This window comes from Homo sapiens, chromosome 2, assembly GCF_000001405.40.
Source record: "Homo sapiens chromosome 2, GRCh38.p14 Primary Assembly".
Classification (NCBI taxonomy): Eukaryota; Metazoa; Chordata; class Mammalia; order Primates; family Hominidae; genus Homo; species Homo sapiens.
Window position 1 is genome coordinate 98597087 of NC_000002.12, and position 21475 is coordinate 98618561.

General features: G+C 42.3%; 2 protein-coding genes across 5 annotated transcripts, besides 3 other annotated features; one reads left to right on the forward strand and one right to left on the reverse strand.

Annotated features, from left to right (window-relative positions):
- COA5 (cytochrome c oxidase assembly factor 5) lies at positions 2228-11426 on the reverse strand. The gene is made up of 3 exons (NM_001008215.3): positions 11221-11426; positions 7022-7105; positions 2228-3707 (listed from the first exon to the last, which is right to left on the reverse strand). Exons 1-3 carry the CDS (start codon positions 11317-11319, stop codon positions 3666-3668), a joined length of 225 nt encoding a protein of 74 aa, NP_001008216.1. The 5' UTR covers positions 11320-11426; the 3' UTR covers positions 2228-3665.
- Positions 4398-4567: an enhancer, noted in NCBI's record as "active region_16269". NCBI's record gives its function as "activates an Ori minimal core promoter by ATAC-STARR-seq in GM12878 lymphoblastoid cells {active_cell/tissue: GM12878}" and the evidence as "EXISTENCE:reporter gene assay evidence [ECO:0000049][PMID:35858748]".
- Positions 10578-11567: an enhancer, noted in NCBI's record as "H3K27ac hESC enhancer chr2:99224127-99225116 (GRCh37/hg19 assembly coordinates)". NCBI's record gives its function as "activates a minimal SCP1, AML or CMV promoter by ChIP-STARR-seq in primed H9 embryonic stem cells {active_cell/tissue: H9 hESC(primed)}" and the evidence as "EXISTENCE:reporter gene assay evidence [ECO:0000049][PMID:30033119]".
- On the forward strand, positions 11503-21429 carry UNC50 (unc-50 inner nuclear membrane RNA binding protein). Of its 4 annotated transcripts, none has more exons than XM_006712403.4 (6): positions 11503-11640; positions 12557-12953; positions 13689-13809; positions 19121-19260; positions 19346-19447; positions 21060-21429. In XM_006712403.4, the coding sequence occupies exons 2-6, from the start codon at positions 12623-12625 to the stop codon at positions 21200-21202; spliced, it is 837 nt and encodes a 278-aa protein (XP_006712466.1). In that variant the 5' UTR covers positions 11503-11640; positions 12557-12622; the 3' UTR covers positions 21203-21429. The 4 variants fall into 4 exon arrangements, with proteins under 4 accessions (XP_006712466.1, NP_001317283.1, NP_001317282.1 ...); NM_001330354.2 differs by having other exon boundaries at positions 21082-21429; NM_001330353.2 differs by having other exon boundaries at positions 12670-12953.
- Positions 11631-11730: a silencer, noted in NCBI's record as "silent region_11802". NCBI's record gives its function as "represses an Ori minimal core promoter by ATAC-STARR-seq in GM12878 lymphoblastoid cells {active_cell/tissue: GM12878}" and the evidence as "EXISTENCE:reporter gene assay evidence [ECO:0000049][PMID:35858748]".
- Positions 21430-21475: the final 46 nt, after the last annotated feature.

Here is a 21475-nt window from a genome sequence, read left to right on the forward strand (position 1 = left end):
AATATTTGCAAATCATGCATCTGATAAGAGGTTAACATCTAGAATATACAAGGAACTTCAACAATAAAAGAGCAAACAACCTATTTTTTTAATACCCATCTACCACCTTAACCATTTTAAGGGATTTAACCCATTTGAATGATTTAACTCATTCAAAATGACTTGAGACATCTCTCCAAAGAGATATACAAATGGCCAACAAGTACATGAAATTATGTTCACCACTAATCATTAGGAAGATGCAAATTAAAACCACACTGAGATACTTCACACCTATTAGGATGGCCACTATTTAAAAAAAAATAAAAAATAACAAGTATAGGCAAGAATGTGGAAAAGTTGAAATCCTTGTGTGCTGTTACTGTAGACTAGTATGGCTGCTGTGGAAAACAGTACGGCTGATCCTGAAAAAATTAGAATAACTGTGTGCTCCAGCAATTCCACTTATGGGTATATACCCACAAGAACTGAAAGCAGGGTCACAGAGGTATCTGTATACCCATATTCACAGCAGCATTATTCACAGTTACCCAAAGGCACAAGCAACCCAAGTGTCCACTGACAGATAGGTAAACAAAATGTGCTATATACATACAACTGAATATTATTTGGCCTTAAAAAAGGAAGGAAATTTTGATACATACTACAACATGGATGAACCTTGAGAACATATGCTAAGTGAAATATGCCAGTCAAAGACAAATGTGGTATGATTCCACACGAGGCACTTACTGTAGACATAAAGTAGAATGGTGACTGTCAAGGTGGAGAGTTGGAGGGGTGGTGGGGGTGAAGGGGAGTTCTGGAGATTGGTTGCATAATTGTGAGTGCACTCAACACTGTTGAACTGTACACTTAAAAATGGTTAAGATAGTAAATTTTATATGTATCTTACATTTAAAATTTTAAAAATATATTGCAAATAAAAGCCTGAAAAATTATTTTTAAAATGAATCAGACTCACATGTAAGAGGTAAAAATGTAAAACTCTTAAATGAAGATAAAACAATAAATTTCCATTAAGCTTAGATTAGGCAATGGTTTCTTAGATACACCAAAAGAAAAAAATAAATTGTAATTCACCAAAATTAGAAATTATACTTCAAAGGATACCATCAAGAAAGTGAAGAGACAAACCACAAATTGGGAGAATCTGTGAATCACTTATCTTTAGGTGACTTGTATCTACAACATACAAAAAACTGTTACAACAATAAAAAGAACCGAACTGAAAACTGGACTAAGGACTTGAATAGACATTTCTCTAAAGACATACAAATGGCCAATAAGCACATGAAAACATGCTCAGACATCATTAGTCGTTAGAGAAATGAAAGTCAAAATCTCAAGTAGATACCACTTCATACCCAGTAGAATGGCTGTAATCAAACATGAATTATAACTGCTGGTGATGTGGAGAAACTGGAACCCTCAAAGATTGTTGGTGGAAATGTAAAATGGTACAGCTACTGTGGAAAATTTTGGCAGTTCATCAAAATGTTAAAGTTGGGCCAGGAACAGTGGCCCACGCCTGTAATCCCAGCACTTTGGGAGGCCGAGGTGGGAGGATCACCTGAGCCCAAGAGTTTGAGGCCAGCCTGGGCAACATGGGGAGACCCTGTCTCCACAAAAATACAAAAAAAATTAGCTGGGCATGGTGTCACGTGACTGTGGTCCCAGCTACTCAGGAGGCTGAGTTAGGAGGAGCCTGGGTGAGGCTGCAGTGAGCTGTAATCATGCCACTGCACTCTGGGCAACAGCAGAGACCCTGTCTCAAAAAAAAAAAAAAAAAAAAAAGGTTGGAATTATATGACCCTGTAATTCCACTCTTACAGAAGCATATGTCCATGCAAAATTTGTTCACTATTGTTCATAGCATTAGTCATAATAGCCCAAATGTGTAAACAAACCAGTCTGCCAACTGATGAATGGATAAAAAAATGTGGTGCATCTATACTATGGAATATTATTCACAAAAGGTAATGAAGTACAGATAGATTCTACATGTGGATGAGCCTTGAAAACATTATGGTAAAAGTGAAAGAAGCCAGTCACAAAAGGCTACATGTTATATAAAAAGTGTCTTAGTGGTTTTTAGAGGCTGAGGGAGAAGGGAAGTGACTGCTAATGGGTACAGGTTGCTCTTTGTAGTGATGCAAATGTTCTGGAATTAGTGGTGATGGTTGCACAACTCTGTAGATATAATAAAAAACACTGAATTGGTAAGTTTCAGTGTGAATTTTACGGTATGTGTATTTCTCCAAATAAAGCTCAATAAAGCTATTACTCAACAAAGATGACAGGGCTTTATAATATACATTTTAGAGTTGTTTACTTTTATTAATAAAAAGTTAGATCACTTATATATATATACATTGAAAAAAACTATTATTGTCCCTTTCCTGGTGAAAAGGAGTATACACAACAGACCTTTGTGATATTCTGCAACAATGACCCATATTGCTGTGGAATTCTCACTTTTTAGTAGAACCTTTAAAAACTCAAGTGAGCTGTACAACGCCCCGATTGCTTTAACTCCAGTGAACCACGGAGGTATAAAGACGCTAGAGTTCTTTGTAATTCTTCAGTGCCAAAAATAATAAAGTTGGAAACTTGGATTCCTGTTTGACTCTACTGTATTAAGTGATCAGAATAAAATTACTGTAAGGCTAATCTTCAACCACTTCATGGTTTTCATTCTTGCTTTCTATAGTGAACATCTGTTGTTTCCACTTGCTCTAAACCCCTTTCCTTTTGGGATTCAGCCCACTACTCATCCATGTGATTCTGACAGGAGTTAGCAATGACAGTGCAGATAGATAGCCCAGGCCTGGCCAAGATCACAGGCCCCCATCCCCTCTTCCACAGGGACTGGTCCAATGCAAGGGCAGGTGATCCTGGGAAGACCAGAGTCCTTTTATAGATTTGATTTGTGGACCCTGAAAAAGGAAGTTCTCTCTCTCCCTTTTGAATCATGGATAATAAGGATGTGGACTTGGAGCTGACACTGGCCCATTATGTAGAGCGGGCCAGACTGAAAATGTAACCAGGAAACAAAAACAGTCCGAAGATGATGGTAAAGAGCCTGGGCAACACAATCTGGGGCCTAGCATCAGCTATGCCTGTGGACGCTATTAAAGTGCTGAGGTTATTACTTCAGTGAATCAGAGCACAAATGAAGTATTTCTTCTCTAAGGAATCAAACACAATTCATTTTAGAACTAGACAGGAAAAGACTGAACTAAAGAAAAAGTTTTATCCTAAACTTTCCCAACAGACACCTTCTGGATAGGCTGCATGTTATCGACTGTGTCAGTCAAATCAGTGGCCTGTACTAATTGGGTAATTCAATTGAAGAGTCAAGTTTGCAAATAACAGTCTTTCCATTTTCTGTGCTTTAGAACAATTCTCAAAACACATTTATTATGCTCCCAACCCATACCTGTTCAATTAGGTTTTTCTTCTAAAAATAACTTGGATCAAGAGAATCATTTACTTTATACATATTCGAAAACAACTCATCCACTTTCTTCAGTGTTCCACGGAGGGGAAATCTGGTCCAACCAAACAGATGTAGTAAAAAGTATGTTTCCTGTTTTGGCTTCTTTGTGTTAATGACCAGGGAAAATATTTGTTGTTTTCCATGTTGGCTTCAACATAATGCATCAATATCCTTTTCTTCCTCTGAATCTTGCCCTGTTATCCAACTGAAAATAAATATACAATTAAATCAAATTTGGTACAATGTAATTAATTAAACACCCCTTACTTTGGTAAGGGTATCACCGCATGAGAGAAATAAACCAGTTATTAGCAAAATCAAAAAGGTGATGACATCAGAACTACCAAGAAAAACCACAGTAACAAAGATGGCATTGGCAGGGCACAGTGGCTCATGCCTGTAATCCCAGCACTTTGGGATGATGAGGTGGGCGGATCACAAGGTCAAGAGTTTGAGAGCAGCCTGGCCAACGTGGTGAAACCCCATCTCTACTAAAAAACACAAAAATTAGCTGGGTGTGGTGGCATGCATCTGTAATCCCAGCTACTCAGGAGGCTGAGGCGGGAGAATTGCTCGAACCTGGGAGGTGGAGGTTGCAGTGAGCCAAGATCGCACCACTGCACTCCAGCCTGGGCAATAAATAAATAAATAAATAAATAAATAAATAAGAAAGATGGCATTAAAAATAGAAGTTCCGCTTAAGGGCAATCAAGAATCCAAATTACATTTAACTGTTTATTTGGACTATACTCAATATACATTCTTCTTCTAAAAAACTTAACTTTCTAGGTTTAGGTTAATATTCAAATATATTTGAAATCTTTAAATTGCAACTGATGAGCCCTGAAAAATGTTAAGTAACACATTACTTTGGGATTAAAAATCCTTCAGGTGAATTACCACCTCACAAACTGGCAGCACGTTCTTTGACTGAAGCCTCACAGTGCAGTCATTTCTTAAGGGTAGTAGGTAGAGCAGAGGGTTCTCAAGTCAGTTTGTAAGGCAAACTTGCATAGTCAATGTCACTCCCCAAAAATTCTATATTGGGGGTCCCTAACCTCCAGGCCATAGACCTGTACCAGTCCATGGCCTGGCAGGAAGCAGGCCACACAGGTGGTCAGCAGCAGGAGAGGGAGTGTTAGGGCCTGAGCTCCACCTCCTGTCAGATCAGGGGCATTACATTCAGATCAGCAGCATTAGAGTCTCAGGAGCATGAACCCTACTGTGAACTGCACATTCAAGGGATCTAGGTGGTACGTTCCTTATGAGAATCTAATGCCTGATGACCTGAAGTGGAACAGTTTCATCCCAAAACCATCCCCTGCCCCCTTCCCCGTCCGTGGAAAGATTGTCTTCTTCCATGGAATTGGTCCCTGGTGCCAAAAATGTTGCAGACCACTATTCTATAGGAAGGAATTATTTTAGAGACAGACCCTGCCAGTTAGTCCAACAAAGTGTGGACAGACAGCCATTTATTCACTGAGCACTAGGTAAAGTAGCTAAAGCCATACTTTTAAAAAAAAATTTTAAAACACAGGAATCAGGATGGTGAACTGCTCATACTATGAGAGAACAGCAGATTCAAACTTCCCATCTCACCTTCAATAAGATGCACACTCACTTTAATAGCATACAAAATTACCCACACAATTTAAATGTTTATATTTCTGGGTTTTTTGCCAAGCATGTATAACAAGTTGCATTAACAGCGATATGACTCTACTCATTTTGGAGGACTAACAGTAAAACATGGTCTTGGAGAAAGATTATAAAAAGGTCCCTAAGCTGGTCGGGTGTTAATGGCTCATGCCTGTAATCCCAGCACTCTGGGAGGGAGAGGTGGGTGGATCAGGAGTTTGAGACCAGCCTGGCCAACATGGCGAAACCCCATCTCTACTAAAAATATAAAACTTAGCTGGGCATGGTGGCAGCTGCCTGTAGTCCCAGCTACTCGGGAGGCTGAAGCACGAGAATCACTTGAACCCAGGACGCAGAGGTTGCAGCGAGCCAAGATCACACTACTGCACTCCAGCCCGGGCAACAGAGCGAGACTCCATCTCAAAAAAAAAAAAAAAAAGGGTCCCTAAGGTGCTCTTCTCAGTGTCAAAGTATATGTGAAACTCTGCCTTGTACTGATATTTAGAAATGGTAAGATCATTTTACTTTTTATGTAAGATTGTTAAAAATTTCTGCTGAAAGTAGATAAATTGTAAAAATAAAAAAAAATCTGACTTCGTTCTTTGGAGATCGAAGACTGAGCTTTAGGTAGAGAATTTCAGAGGGTTTACTGCACACGCTTTGAAATTCTTGACAAAGTTAAAGGTTTGCATTTTACATGGGTAACAAATCTATGTGAGAGAAGGCAAGAAAATCCTCCTCTATTCACACTGAATGACAGGAAAAGATGTCACTTAAGAAAGTAAACAGAGCAGGGCCAAATTTAATCTAACTTTACACCCTCCCTGGATCTGATTAGCTGGCAAACATGCTCCAAGTTCTTTGTTTACAACCACTTGCAGGTCGTAAGTATCAGTACCCTCCATTTCTTTTGTTAACAAAAAGGAAGGGATTTGCAGTGTAGTTCCTAAGCAAACAAAAGCATGCTCAAGGCCAGGTGTGGTGGCTCACTCCTGTAATCCCAGCACTTTGGGAAGCCGAGGCAGGCAGATCACCTGAGGTCAGGAGTTCAAGACCAGCCTGGCCAACATGGTGAAATCCCATCTCTACTAAAAAAATACAAAAATTAGCTGGGCACAGTGGCAGGCGCCTGTAATCCCAGCTACTCAGGAGGCTGAGGCAGGAGAATCTCTTGAACCCAGGAGGCAGAGGTTGCAGTGATCTGAGATTGCGCCACTGCACTCCAGCCTGGTGACAAAGTGAGACTCCGTCTCAAACAAAAAACAAAAAACAAAAAAAAAACATCCTCAAGTCCAAGTGCTTTCTTCCTTTAATGGGATGCTCATATTTTTGGTTTTATACATTTCTCCAAGAAAAGGGTCTCAGTTTCCATTCCAAAGATCTCCATACATCTTCCAAATCAAAGAATGTTAGAATGAACCCCAGAGATTTGTAATCTCTTTTTAGGCCCTATTTCTACAATCCATCCCTCCAAAATTCAAACACAGATACTGACATTTTCTCTTAGTCACATAAGGCACAAATGTATACACCTTGGAGCTCCACATTATATGTTTGTATACAATTGCCAACTGATCTGAACTCGAGTGGCCAACATCAACTTTTACCCGTATATACCTGCCGAGACTTCATTCTCACACTTTCAGAAATGCATGAAGTTCAGCAGCTGTAGTTAGCACGGTGACAGAAGAACATAACAATGAGCTGTGGGTTTTTATGAACGCTACCTAACGTTAACTCACTGGAGGAAGAAATATTATCTATGTAATTTTTTCCAAACCATATCACTGCAACTTACCTATAACTATTAAGTCATTCATATATTTAACCTCCCTATAGCTAATTTTTAGCATAGGCTTTTAAAAATCTTTAACCACTTACCACTGATCTTTTACACTCAAAAAATGCGTACTTCAAAGAGTTGCAGTATCCTTCCTTCAAACACTGCCGAGGTGATTTTCCTTCCTATGACAGACACATAAAACAATATAAACACCTTGGAAATTTTCTCACAAAGTACAAAATAATTGTCCTTCTGAAAATAGTCCTTTTTAAAAGTGTTAAAGGAGGAAAATAGAAAGTTATGTAGGAAATAGTTCTTAATTCATTTGGGCTATTGGTGCCTAAAGAATGAAAAAAAAATTGTAAAGTAACTTGGGAACTTTAAGGACACTGTTGAATTCTTGAAAACACTGGTTTCTATTGGATACTTTTCCTTAAACTGTTTATATAAAAATCTAGAAAGGGTTATCTTCATTTCCTTATGGGTGAAATGTGTGAACTGGGTACCCTAAAATCAGAATATTTTTAGTGTTGGCACGAAACACTTCACAAAGATATTAACAAGGCAGGCTGGAATACTACTTAAATAGAAACATGTGGCCCATTCATGCACCAGAAAAAATATAACCCAAAGCTCATCTGCTCTGCATAATCAGGGATTTTCCCTCAAGCAGATTTTGACTCTACAGCCGCATCACTGCAGCCACTCCCCAGAACCTTTATGTTGCAAGTGCCAGGCACGCTCTGCCAGTTTTTCCTATGAAAAGCTACAGGGTACTATGTCTGTGGTATTCCTGTTCCCCAGGAGTCTTGGCCACCTTCCAGTCTGTATGTCTGCCTGGGTCCTAGATATCAAATGTCATCTACCTCAGTGACTCTCAAAAGTGGATAAGAGTAGCAGGTTTCCTTCCTCTCCAAACTCTGCAATTCTGCTGGTGGGATGTGTTGCCCACATGAACGACGTGGAGGCAGACAAAAGAAGACTAACCATATAAAAGGTTATAACTATAGTTTATAAGCTGATGCCTCTTCAAACTGTATCTAAGATGCTACCTTTTTCAAAAGCTTTCAACCTATATTGTCAACTGCCTGGGGTAAAGATCCATCTAGATACACTAAAGCTAAGAGACAGTCATTCGTTATCCACTCCACCCCAAATAACAGACTGCTAGCTGTCTGCTCTTCCTTTTTATCCAGCATATGGCTGGGTGAGATCTCCTAGACGCCCTTGCATCTAGCTGTGGTCCTGTGACTAAGTTCTAGCCACTGGAATGTGTGGGAAACAGGTGTAGAACTTCTGGGTTGGTCCTTAAAGAGGCTTGCCCCTTTCCTCACTTCACTCCATAAGGTTGCCGGGCCTGATGATGTGGAAGCAAACCAGTCTTGGACCATGAATATGAGAGTAACACCCTACTTGCTATATTTTCCTATTTTCACAGCACAGAGTCACAAGATCAACAGTGTCTGCGTTCATGGAAGACTGAGGGAAATGACTAGGCCCTGATTATAGGCACAAGGACAAAAGAGAAAGTTCTCTATCTCGTTTAAGCCACTATTATTCTGGGTCTCTGTAACATGCACTTGAATCTATATTCTAACTAATACACTCCCAAGCTTTTTTGCCTTCTGAGGTCAAGATCAGTCAGTGCTCTCAAACATGGCTGTGCCCAAAACCAACCTAGGAAAGAAACTTTTAACTTATTGGGGGTAGGGTGAGGGCAGCAGTGGAATCTGTACTTTTAAAAAGCCACACCACTTCTAGGTGATTCTGATGAAGAGTCAGTGGATCTGGAAGCTGTTAGTGGAGACGAAGATACCCTATGATGAGTGAAGTTCCTCTGGCAGAGTTTCATTGTCCTGATCATCCAGGAGTCATTAAATCCTAAGAAGTCTCTTCAAGAGATGCCTTTTGAATCTGCTTTTTCCCTGCTTTCCTCCAGCCCCACTGGAATTTACATCCTTACCATTACCCTGAGTTTCTCTGAGGCCCTCTAACTCCTTGACAGTCTCCCAAAGCAGCACCTAGAACTAAATACATGTTTATGTTGAATTCCTCCCTAGAGCGAGGTGCTGCAGGTTTCAGGTGGGTTAAAGACTGGCAAGAAGAGACTACAGCACCAACCTGCCATAGGATCAGATTAACCTTTTTATTCAAGAACTTAAGAAATCAAAAATTTCCATCATAATTAAGGTTGCCACACAGAGCAAGCACAGACCTCAGCAGAGCTTTCCTTGGTCTTTCAGAGTCCCCAGTGAGGAGCAGTGGGCAGTAGCTGCCAACAGATTGTAGGAGATTGTTCTGGACCTGCAAACCTCCTCACTATTGCCCTTTTACAATCCAGCTGAAGTCAGCATTCAGAATGAATTTAACACAAACTGTATACGAACTTCCATCTAAAGAACTGCTTATAAGCATCACGTTTTCTGGCTGACCAAACTGAGCACTGGTAAGGCCACATATTCAATGGCGGGAAAAGCAAAGTCTGTACCAGCTGTCCCAACCATAATCTCTGCCTACAGCATTCTAGCCAAACAGCTCCGCTTTCTATACTGGAGAGACCATGTTCCATTCATCAGTATTTGTTCCCTGAACTGGAGCCTGGCGCTCCGTACATGTTTGCTGTATCAACCGCTGCAGAAAGCCAGCTTGGAATTCTCTGTGCTGCTGCTATTGTCCTCCACTTGGAGTTTCTTTCCTCAGTCCTACTCAGTGTACTTTCTTCCCTTGACTACTCATCAACATGGCCTTCCGATGCTGAACGTCTGGATAAAATCCAGTCTCCTCACTCTGACACACATACAGGCCTTCACACCTGGCTGCAACCTTCCCCTCAGGCCTTCTGTCGCATTCCCCTATGGCAGGACACTAGCTCCTCTGCGCCCTCCCACATCTCCCTGCCTCTGCACTTGCTGTTCTTTCAGATTTTCCCCACAACCACAACAGTTCCCACTCCTTTACTTGATAAACTACTACTCAACTTTTAAGACTCAGCTCAAATGTCATCTCAGAAGATTCCAAATTCTGAAGCAAAATCAGACGCTCTCCCTTGGGCTAACGCATTTTTCTCCTCAAGATCTAGTCATTAAACACATGTTTAATAAATGCTTACAGTCTTATGGCAGGAATTTAGACCCTTAGATGTCTATTTCTCCCATGACACCAAGCTTACATGGGTAGTGACTGTTACTGATTCATCTTCGTTATCACCAGTGTCAGGTACCATGCCTGCCACTTAAGAGGCATTTACCAGGAGCTGGCTGAACGGCAGCACCAGTGAGTAAGGGGCAGAAGGGACACAGCCCTGGACAGGGGAGCCTGAAAACAACGGTACTTCAGTTTCCTCATTTATATAAGGAAGTTGGGCGAGATAATCTCTTAAATTTATAATAACTCAAGTTTTACTAGACATTGGGAGGCGAGAATGGCTGACTGCTAAAATCAGTGAACCAAACAAATTGTGACTCGGTAGAAACACTGGTACAGTCTTACAGTGGATGTCCATTTGGGGGTAATCTTTTCTCTGAAATAACAGCAACTTTCTGAAACTACATCCCCCAATGCAAAGACAATTGCACACAATTGAATGCCCTCTCGTCGGGCCTCTGCAATTGGAAAAGGCACTTGTGCTTTACTTGAGCTCTAATCCAGAACTCAGGTCCACTGTGAACCTCACTACATGTTTCAGTGCATTCCAAGAGGGTGCTGAGGAGACCTGTGTCTGTAGCCGGGGAGTGAAGGAAGAGTGTAGGGGAAGCAAGATACGAAATCGTGAAAATATGGAGTTGCCTTATTTTTACAACTTAACATCCAAGAATGCAGAGAACTGTAACTCAGAAACAAATTCACATCAACACAAGTCAAACTGAGCACACATTGTCACAACTGAACAGGCAGGAGACACTACTGGCCAGGGCAGTGTACCAGGTTTACGCAACTCTCTGGAATCATTAATTCTACAGATTATCATTTCTAGGCAGGCAAGAAACCTGGCTTATTCTCCTTTATGTCTCCAAAGCCTAGTAGAGTGCTAGCATTCAATAAAGGCTTCGTGAACTGAAATGGGTTAACCTTTACAAAAACCCGACAGGGTGCGTTTATCGTTATCTCCGATTTAACCCCACAGGGAACTGGGGCTCCGACAGCTCAGTGGATCTGCGCACGTTCAGTGAGCCCGAGCTGTGACCTACGCCCGGGATGGTTAACTCCAACCGCCGCCGCGGGCGACCCGCTGCCCTCCGCCGAGCCAGGCCTGCCTGGGACAGGGGTCGTCACCACCGGGAGCGCCCGGCCGCGCTACCTGGACCACACAGTCCGACTGCAGCAGACACGCGCCCAGGTCCTCCTTCAGGCCCGCGCACGCGCCGCCCTGCGGCTTGTCCTCATAATACTTAGGCATGACGGCGCTTCCCCTCCGATGCGGACGCGACTTTCTCCCACCGCAACACTTGCAACCGGGTCGGGAGCGAGCGAGGCCCCAGTCTCAGGGGACCGGAAGCCAGCGGCAACAACTTCCGGCGGGCCGCGGCGGTAGGGCCGAGGACTACGGGGGCCGAGAGGTGGCGCGTCCGCGGCGGAAGTCGGTTCCCGTGACGCGGCGCGCCCCAAGGGCCGGCTCCGTTGAGGGAAGGGAAGCCCGCCCGGTGGCGGCTGGGGTCGGCTGCTGGGAGGAGGTGGTGGGCTGGTTCGGACGTGGGTCGAGGCTGTAGCAGGACTCCAGGTGAGGCCTGAGGACCACTCTGCCCTCCCGCGGCCCGGGCTCGCGCCGGGGGCCATTTAATCCCGACAGCTTGCGGCCTGACGTCGCTGCGGCCTGGCAGTGACCATGTCGGCGTCCGGCCCCTCGGCCGGCGATAGAGTTGCGGCTAAAATGAAAGGACGCCCAGTTACATTTGCATCGTAGATAAAGAAAGAGCATTTAGTATAAGCATGTCCGAAATGTTGCGTGGGATGTAGGCATACTAAAACCTTATTCGTGGCCTGTCTGAAATCCAAATGGAGCTGGGTATTCTGTGTTTTTATTTGCTAAATCTGGCAGCCGTACCCGCGGCCCCGGGCAGGGAGGGAGCAGCTGGGCTCGGCCAGACCCTGCCGGCGTCTGGGGGGCCTGCGAAGTGGAGGGGAGACGGGCAGCCGGGCAGTGGCCGGCGTTCCCCGGAGCTCGGACCGGTTGGATTGGACTCCGACGCTACCGCTCCCTCTGCTGAACTATTCCGGATGTAAAACACTAGGGATCGGAGTTTTTCTTGGTTTTTTAATCTCATTCTAGTGACCGAGAAGCTTGCTGGCAGTGCGCTGATGGATCTGTGTGAATAGGCCATTTATTTGACCTCTTCAGTAACACTGTTCTAACCGGCTGAAACTGCTTTCTTAGGCATTTTCTTAAAAGCTTGGTGGTTAAGAGCACGGAATTTCGAGTCAGATTTCCAATCTTGGCTCTATCACTATCCTCGGAGTCATGGGGCAGTCACATCATCCCTGTCTCTGTAATGGTAGCTGCCCCTGGATAAGTGTTATTAGGTGATTCAGAAGGGTGGGCTGTTGCCCTTGCCTGAGGTTGCAGTCTGCGGTTCCCAAGCCCCAAGACCCGCCTCAGAACTAACTGCATTTGCTTTTGACTCCTGGCCTTTCTCTAGGGTTGGGAAGAACATGGAAAGTGACCTCCCTGCCAAATAACTCAGAAGAGGAGTGTCGGTAGCCAAATGTTTCTTCAGAATACGTGTAAAAGAAATGTTTTTCTTCCATCTAGGAAGATGTTACCGAGTACTTCAGTGAATTCCTTAGTGCAGGGGAACGGAGTCTTGAATTCCAGGGATGCGGCAAGACACACAGCCGGAGCGAAACGCTACAAATATCTGAGAAGGCTTTTCCGCTTTCGGCAAATGGACTTTGAATTTGCTGCCTGGCAGATGCTCTACCTGTTCACATCCCCACAGAGAGTTTACAGAAATTTTCATTATCGAAAACAGACGAAGGACCAGTGGGCCAGAGATGACCCTGCTTTCTTGGTCCTGTTAAGTATCTGGCTCTGTGGTAAGTGTGTTTATCTGAGATAGAATTGAACGCTGAGTGTTTCTGATTAGATTTTTTGTTATAAATGTGTTGTGGGTCAGAATCTGGAAATATTGGAAACTATTTCTCCTTTTTACTGAAGCCTCAAAAAATCTCACAGGAAAGAAAGTTGTAGTCTTGGTTCTACAGGTCCCAAGCAGATGCCAGAGTAAACTGTTACCCTAGGACATTGAAAAGCAGGGGACAAGATTCACTCCATATCTTTTTAAGTACTTGAATCGGTACCCAAATGTCAGCTGACTGTGAATAGGAATATGAAACTGGAAATTGCATTTCACAGGCAAATCCACAGTGAGAATTGTAAAGGTATTGATGGGAACCTGAGAAACTGAAGTTCTCCAATTCCATAATGCAAGGGTCTCATTTACCTGTAGGGTGTTGAAGTGGGTAAGATATTGAAGTTTATAGGGTGTTTTGCACCTTAACTGGACTTAAACTATGTTAGTGCCTTCTCTACACTGGCGTTCTAAATACTGAGGCCACCGTGGTGAATCAGCCTGGCAAGGGCCCACCTCAGGAAACTTCAACTCTCTCAGTGGCCACGCTGTGTCCCAAGGTAGTGTTCACACATCTTGGGAGTTTTGTTTAAAGACCTGTCTCTCCCACTAGCCTGGGCATCTGGAGGGCAAGGGATGTGTCCTGTATTTCCAGAACCTAGCAGAGTCCCTAAATGAATCTTGTGAATCTTTCTTTCAGTGTCCACTATAGGATTTGGCTTTGTGCTGGACATGGGATTCTTTGAGACAATAAAGCTTCTCCTTTGGGTTGTACTCATAGATTGTGTAGGCGTTGGTCTTCTGATAGCAACTTTAATGTGGTAAGTACCATAACTTTGGTTTTTCAGATACTGCTGTAGCATCTCCATTTGTTTGCTTCAGAGGTACAATAGCAGCAGATGGAAATTGAAACCCAGGTAGAGTTACTAAATGATCAATTTTGACTGCCAAGATTATTACAATTTTCCCTCCTGTGTTGCCACCTATATCAGAAAATACTATAAAGGCTGGTTTATAATATTGTCAAATGTAGCAAATAATTGAAATAATTATGTTTTGAACCCAAAATATCTGAGATCGGTCTCAATTTAGAAAGTTTAGTTTGCCAAAGTTAAGGACATGCCTGTGACACAGCCTTAGGAGGTCCTGATGACATGTGCCCAAGGTGGTCGGGGCACAGCTTGCTCTTATACATTTTAGGGAGACTTGAGACATCAGTCAATATGTGTAAAATGTACATTGTTTTAATCCAGAAAGTGGGGAAAGGCAGGTTACAGTTAGATAAGAGACAAATGGTTGCATTCTTTTGAGTCTTTGATCTGCCTTTCACTGAATACACAATTTACTTGTGAGAGGCAGGTACAGGAATAGTCATTTATGCCTTAATCTGGCTCAGTGAGTCTGCATTTTTACATAAACAATGGGGCAGAGGAAGCAATCAGATAAACACTTGTCTCAGGTGAGTAGAAGGAGGACTTTCTGTCCCACACCTGTAAAGATAAGCTATCTTAGGAATAAAATAGGAGGCAAGTTTGCCTGACACAGTTACCAGCTTGACTTTTCCCTTTGGCTTAGTGATTTTGGGGTCCCGAGATTTATTTTCTGCATACTAACAAAATGCCTGGTTTTGCAAAAATATTACAGATTTAGCCAGTTCTGCTTAAGTTGTCTGGATGATAGCATGGTTTTCTGCATTTGTCAATAGAGACCACTTCTTGATATTCATTGTGTTTAAATCCATTTAGATCTAAAGGGTTATTTTGTGGAGTCTTACTTTGAATCTTTGCATTAAATGAAGTATACTTGAAAAAGAAGGATTTTTTTTTTAAACTTCTCATGCCTTCCTACTGAGAATAAAATTCTCTCTCTTTCTCTCATACACACACACCCTCCGCCCCCCCCGCCCCCCCACCGCCACACACACACACGGGCTTTATCAGAAGGGTTCTCAGTCTGACTTTGGTTGATTTAGCAACAGCAGTGTACTGAGGATAAATCTGGTGTTTGGTAAAGTCCTCCTGTGTGGTTGGCATGCTGGATGAAGGGCAGGGGATGTGGCTAGCGATCTCAGTAGAGGACCAGTGGTTGGGTAGACATGGTGGTCATTGTGGAGAACATTTTAGTTGCAGAGAGACCTGGGTTCAAATGCCAACTTAGTTATCTGTGAAACTCTTAGTCCCAGTCTCTTCTTTTACAAAATCTAGTTAATTACCTATTCTGTCCAATTTTTGAGATAATTATGTTATGAAAATTACCTGACACAGTTAAGTGTTCAATATTTGGTAGTTACTAATATTTTAAGCAAAACTCTGCAACTATAACTTCTGATACCAGCCTTTTTTTTTTTTTCTTTGAGACGAAGTCCCACTCTGTCACCCAGGCTGGAGTGCAATGGTGTGATCTCAGCTCACTGCAACCTCCGCCTCCCGGGTTCAAGCGAATCTCCTGCCTCAGCCTTCTGAGTAGCTGGGATTACAGGCACACACCACCACACTTGGCTAATTTTCATACTTTTAGTAGAGACAGGGTTTTGCCATTTGGCCAGGCTGGTCTCAAACTCCTGACCTCAGGTGATCCTCCCGCCTCAGCCTCCCAAAGTGCTGGGATTACAGGCGTGAGCCACCGCGCCCAGCCAATACCACCCTTTTACAGGCATAGTTCAGATATGCTAGTTCCATTCCAGATACTGCAGTAAAGCAAATATCACAATAAACTGAGTCACACAGATGTGTTGGTTCCCAGTGCATATTAAAATCATATTTACACTGTACTGTAGTCTTTTAAGTGTACAATAGCACTATGGCTCTAAAAAACAATGTACAGACTAATTTAAAATGCTTTATTGCTTAAAAATGCTGACACAGAGACATGAAGTGGGCATATGCTGCTGGAAAAATGGCACAGGCAGACTTGCTGGACACAGTTGCCACAAACCTTCAATACGTAAAAATTTAAAAACTACAGTTTCTGTGAAGCGCAGTACAGTGCAGTGTGGTAAAATGACATATGCCTGTATTTTCCTTTGTAACTTCTGACTAGTACAGCAGAGCTTTTGTATGTGCTAGTTAGCCAATAAATGCTGTCCACTGTTAATATAAAATTCTAAAATCTGGCCTAGAATTAATACTAATGTAAGTCACGTATTCATTACCAAGAAATTCATGAAAAACAAATGGTGTGTTTTAAAATTTCAATAAATAAGACTTTCAAAGGAATAGTTTCATTCATAACAAGCATTCTGCCCTGAATGCAGTAATTCTGGAGGCCACTGTCTTAGTCTGTTCTCAATGCTGCTATAAAGAAATATCTGAGACTGGGTAATTTATAAAGGAAAAAGGTTTAATTGACTCACAGTTCTGCATTGCTAGGTAGGCCTCAGGAAACTTATAATCATGGCAGAAGGCAAAGGAGAAGCAGGCACCTTCCTCACAGGGTGGCGGGATGGAGTGAGTACAAGTGGGGGAAATGCCAAATGCTTATAAAACCATCAGATCTTGTGAGACTCACTGACTATCACGAGAACAGCATGGGGGAAATTACGTCCATCTGGCCCCACCCTTGACACGTGGGGATTCTGGGGATTGCTGTTCAAGATGAGATTTTGGGGACACAGCCAAACAATATCAGGCACAGAAGGGGACCAAATCAGCCTGGAGTTTAGCACATTTCATGTGAGTCTGTATCATAGTTTGAATTAAATAGAAAGGGATTCAGTGTATTTTTGAGAACCTATGTTGTGTGAGGAACTAGAAAGAGAAATGACTACATGTAATGATGACCATCACAGAGGAGCTACAGAAGCCAGCATAAGGTGGTGGTTTGTGGAGATGGGGAATAGTTGACTCCTGGTGCTGGGAATTGCAAGTGCAATGGCATAGAGGTGTGAACAGCACACTAGGTCTGGGAGCATAGGGTGACACCGAGTCACTGGGGAAGAGATGTGACTAGAGAAATTGGCCTTCATGCCATTCAGGAAAAAAATTGGACTTTATCTCATAGACTGCATGTGTGGGTTGGGGGCAAAAGGAGGTGGGGAGCTTTGAGGCTTTAAAGTAAGGAAATAATGTCAAACTCACACTATCTTTTCCATGGCAGTGGAGGAGGCAAAAGTTGGAGTAGTGAGTGGGCAAGGCTGGATACACTTGCAGAGGTCTGCGTAGGAGTAGAGGAGGCCCAGATAGTATGGTGGTGATAGGAATAGAGAGGAGAGATGGATTCGAGAGCTTCCTGAGATAACAAGGTATGAGGGGGGATCAGGAAGAGGGAGTGGGTGGGAGGCTCCTTTGGGATGACCTGTAAGATTTTGGCTTAGATGACTGAGGAAGCAGCAGATGCAGATGAAGCAGCCCTTGCTGGCCTGTTGAGTTCAGGGAGCTTCCTGAAGAGTGAAAAGAAGGTCAGTAGACACTGAGGTTGATGACTCTAGACCTAGAGGCAAGAGTCTGGGCCATGATGAGCCTCTGACTGGCGTTAATATGGAGCTGGGAGGTGAAAACCACAGTGCCTTGGAGTGCTCTCGGAAGGCACATCTGTCTTTCAGAGGAAAGACTCTCACTGAGGCCAGAAGCTTGAAAAGCGCCCATTTGGGATAAGCGGGAGAATAGGGGCAGCAGAGAACGTCTACAGAAAGGGCGCTCTTGGGGAGCGAGCTACATACTGATTCCATAAAATTTGAATGGCACACATTCTTGGCTAAAAAGGAAACTGTCTTGGTAAGCTCTAGTTTGTTCAGTATTGTTTTGGCATTTTCAGATAACGAAATGCAGGGACTGTTAACATTAGTATTGTACCTCTGTTTATTTTCCATTTTTATCCCCAGTGACGGAATAGCGTATTCTTAATTGTACCCTTGAGATGAAATGAAATAATACATTAAAAAATACATTGAATTTCCAATATATGTTTATAATACAAGTTTTGTTCTTTGAAGATCTTACTTTTCTGTTACTTGGATATTTTACTTTTTATTCATCATTGAACTGAAAAACTAGTAGGCCATGTTGTAGAACAGTGACATACACTTGAATAATTGTTCTTATGGCTGGATGCGTCACTCTTCCTAACTGCTTCTTACTATTTCATCCTCCTTTTAATAGGGGGTTGACCCAGGTCTTGGGCCTTGGGCCTGTTCATTATCCACATTCATTTTTTTGGTGACATCATTCAGGCCCGTGGCTTTAAATATTAATATCATCTACACACTGATGAGTTTATATTTCCAGTTTGGACTTGTCTTCTAAACTCTAGACATTGTATACAACTTCTTACTCCATACTAGTTGGCATCTTCAACATAACAGGTCCAAATTCAAACTTCCGCACACTCCTTCCCACCTCAAAACCACTCTTCCCACAGCCAGCCCCACCTCAATTAAAGGCAGCTCCATCTTCCATTTGTTCAAGGCAGAAATCTCTCAGTCATCCTTGAGTATTTTTTTCTCATACTCCAATCCAATAATGTCAGGAGCTCTACCTTCAGAGTATCGTGTGTGCCACATCTTAGCACCTCCACTGCCACCAGCCCCTCTGCTCATCTCTTCCTTGCAGTAGCCTTCTAACTGGTCTCTGCTGCCAGTCTTGTCTCTGGAGTCTGTTCTCAGATCCGCCACCAGGGAGGCTCTGTCAAGGCATTTAAGTCAAATACTTTTCTCAGAACTCCACAGTGGCTTCTCACGTCACCAGGAATAAAAGCCAAAGATTGTAAAACGGCCACAGGCTTCGTAAGACATGGAGCCTGTGTGACTTGATGTTGGGCCCAACCCTGTTTCTTTTCTGGCTTCATTTCTTGCTCCTTTTCTTTCAGACACTGGTCTTTTCACCATTCCTCAGGCCTGCCAGGCACCATCACTATCCTTGGGTCTTTACCCAAATGTTACTTTATGACCCTCATATGTACAATTGCATCTCAAGTTTGTATTCTCCACATTTCTCTGCTGCTTTCTCTCTTTCCATAATACCATCTGACATAGGTGTATCATTGTCAGCCTTCCTTCCTAGATGGAAGGCAGGGATTTTTGTCTGTTTTGTTTACTGGTATATCTCCAGAATTTAGAATGTCTGCCGCATAGAAAGTCGTCAGTAAACATTTACAGAATTCATTTTATTATGAAAGAAATTTTAATTTTGCTCTTAGGTTCATCTCTAACAAGTATTTAGTGAAACGACAGAGCAGAGACTATGATGTGGAATGGGGCTATGCTTTTGATGTGCATCTCAATGCTTTTTATCCACTCCTGGTCATTTTGCATTTTATCCAGCTTTTTTTCATCAACCGTAAGTAGCAGTTAATTAGAGTATTATCCAAGTCTTCATTGCATGCATTGGTAAAGGGACTCATGGTCTGCGTCTCTTCTGGCAGATGTTATCCTGACAGACACATTTATTGGATATTTAGTTGGAAATACCTTATGGTTGGTTGCAGTTGGCTATTATATCTATGTAACTTTCCTGGGATACAGTGGTAAGTAATTTTTTTAAATGTTTTTGGTTGAGAACATAGCAAGAGGGGGAAAGTTGTAACAGTAGTACAAACAGCTGCTTTTATGGAACACTTACAGGCACTATCCTAAGTATTTTATGTGCATTATCTCATTTAATCTTCATGACAATTACACAGGTTTGTTTCTGTTTTCAAATGAGGAAACTGAGGCAGAGAGATTAAGCAACTTACCCATGGTCATGCAGCTAGAAAATGGCCTAGCTGGTATATAACAGATTTTATACTTTCAAGGAAACATGTTAAACCATACTGGTTATCTCCAGATGACTTGCAGGAATCCAAGACCATTCACTCCTCTTCTCCCATGCTTTCAGGTTGTGGGTTACCAGCAGGAGGGTAGAGCGAAGAAAGGTGGGGCCCAGCATCTTGTTACATAGGTCTATGAACTGAAGTTCTCTAAAGCCTTTTGAATCATAACTTTTTGCCCCATTCTTAGTTTTCATGATTACCGTATGGTTCTGTAGACAATCACAGAAGATCGGGCCCAACATTTATTGTCCTCAGGACATGTTTGCAGATTTACTGTTAAATCCTGTTGTCAGTTCATTTTTCTTAATATGAATGAGGAACATATATTATTTTTCATTTATGTTAAGAAATGATCCCATTAAATAAAGCCAAATAAAATCTAGAGACTGCGCTGTACGTTTCTTACCCCTTCCTTTCCTGTTACTGTAGATGATTAGGGCCTAACTGTAAATACAGATGGCTCTGACTATGCCTGGCTCCGGAGTTATTCCCACCCCGGTTCTCTCCCCCCTTGGCTGGTTTGTCAGGGAACACTTAACCCCTTCATTGTAATGCCTTGTTTGGGGAGTGCTTTCTCTAGTCCAGGGGAGATGTTTGTGTCATTTCTAATGAATTTTGAAAGTGTTTTGTGATGAGAACACTGCAGCACTGTGGTTTCTCTAAGTGGTTATTTGAACACTCCTGGTAACGACCTATACCACTTAGAATAGTTGGAGTACAGCTCAGTTTGTTTAAGAACTTCCTATATGAGAAATACTTAGGTCGGGATGCATGGGGTAGGGTCCCGCTAACTAAGCAGTGAGCAAGAAACATCAATATTTGGAGCCAGACTTTTATATTTAAGAGTTTCAGTTCTTTTCTGAAGCCTGGGCTACTAGTTGAGCTCACACCCTCTTAAAGTGGGGGTATAATGCTTTACACTGGAAAATCTCAAATAGCTAAAAGATGTTTTCCTATAACGCCATCCATCTCTGTACTTTAAGTTGGACTCCTAGAGGTTTCTGAGGCAGTCACAAGTTTAAATTCACCACTGTTTTCATGAATATTTGTGACATTTCTCCCTCATTGTTAACCTCTCTTGGTCCAGTGTATGATGTCCCACTCAGCCTCTGTGCTGAAATAATTCCTCTCCTAGGTTTCTTCCCAGCCCTAGACAAGGAGGAAACAGCACAGAGGGGTTGGGAAGAGTAGTCTAGTTCTGGGCATAAATAGCATCATCTTACTGATTCAAAATATGCATTCCCTTCCACCCCACATGTTGAAGTAAGCTGTCTTTCAAAATGTTCATTTATTAGTCATTTATTTTTTTTTTTTTTTAAATCAGTTTGGATTCCTTTCTTTTCCAGCATTGCCATTTTTGAAAAATACAGTAATTCTTCTGTATCCATTTGCACCTCTGATTCTGCTCTACGGGCTTTCCCTGGCACTGGGATGGAACTTCACCCATACTCTCTGTTCTTTCTATAAGTACAGAGTGAAATAAAAAGTGAGAAGAAGATTCAATCGTAACTGTGTCAACAGTATTGTGAAGTGATCATTTCTTGTAAAACTTGTAAATAAACTATCATCTTTGTAGATATCTTAAAGGTGTAAAGTTTGCAAATTTGAAGAAATATATATTAACACTGTGGTCAGGTACATTCCTTAAAACTAATTAAATGTACATTTCTATAATAAATATTTTTTAAACTAAAGCATGTGTGTTCACTCTAATATTTGCAAATGTAAGAGCTACATGTA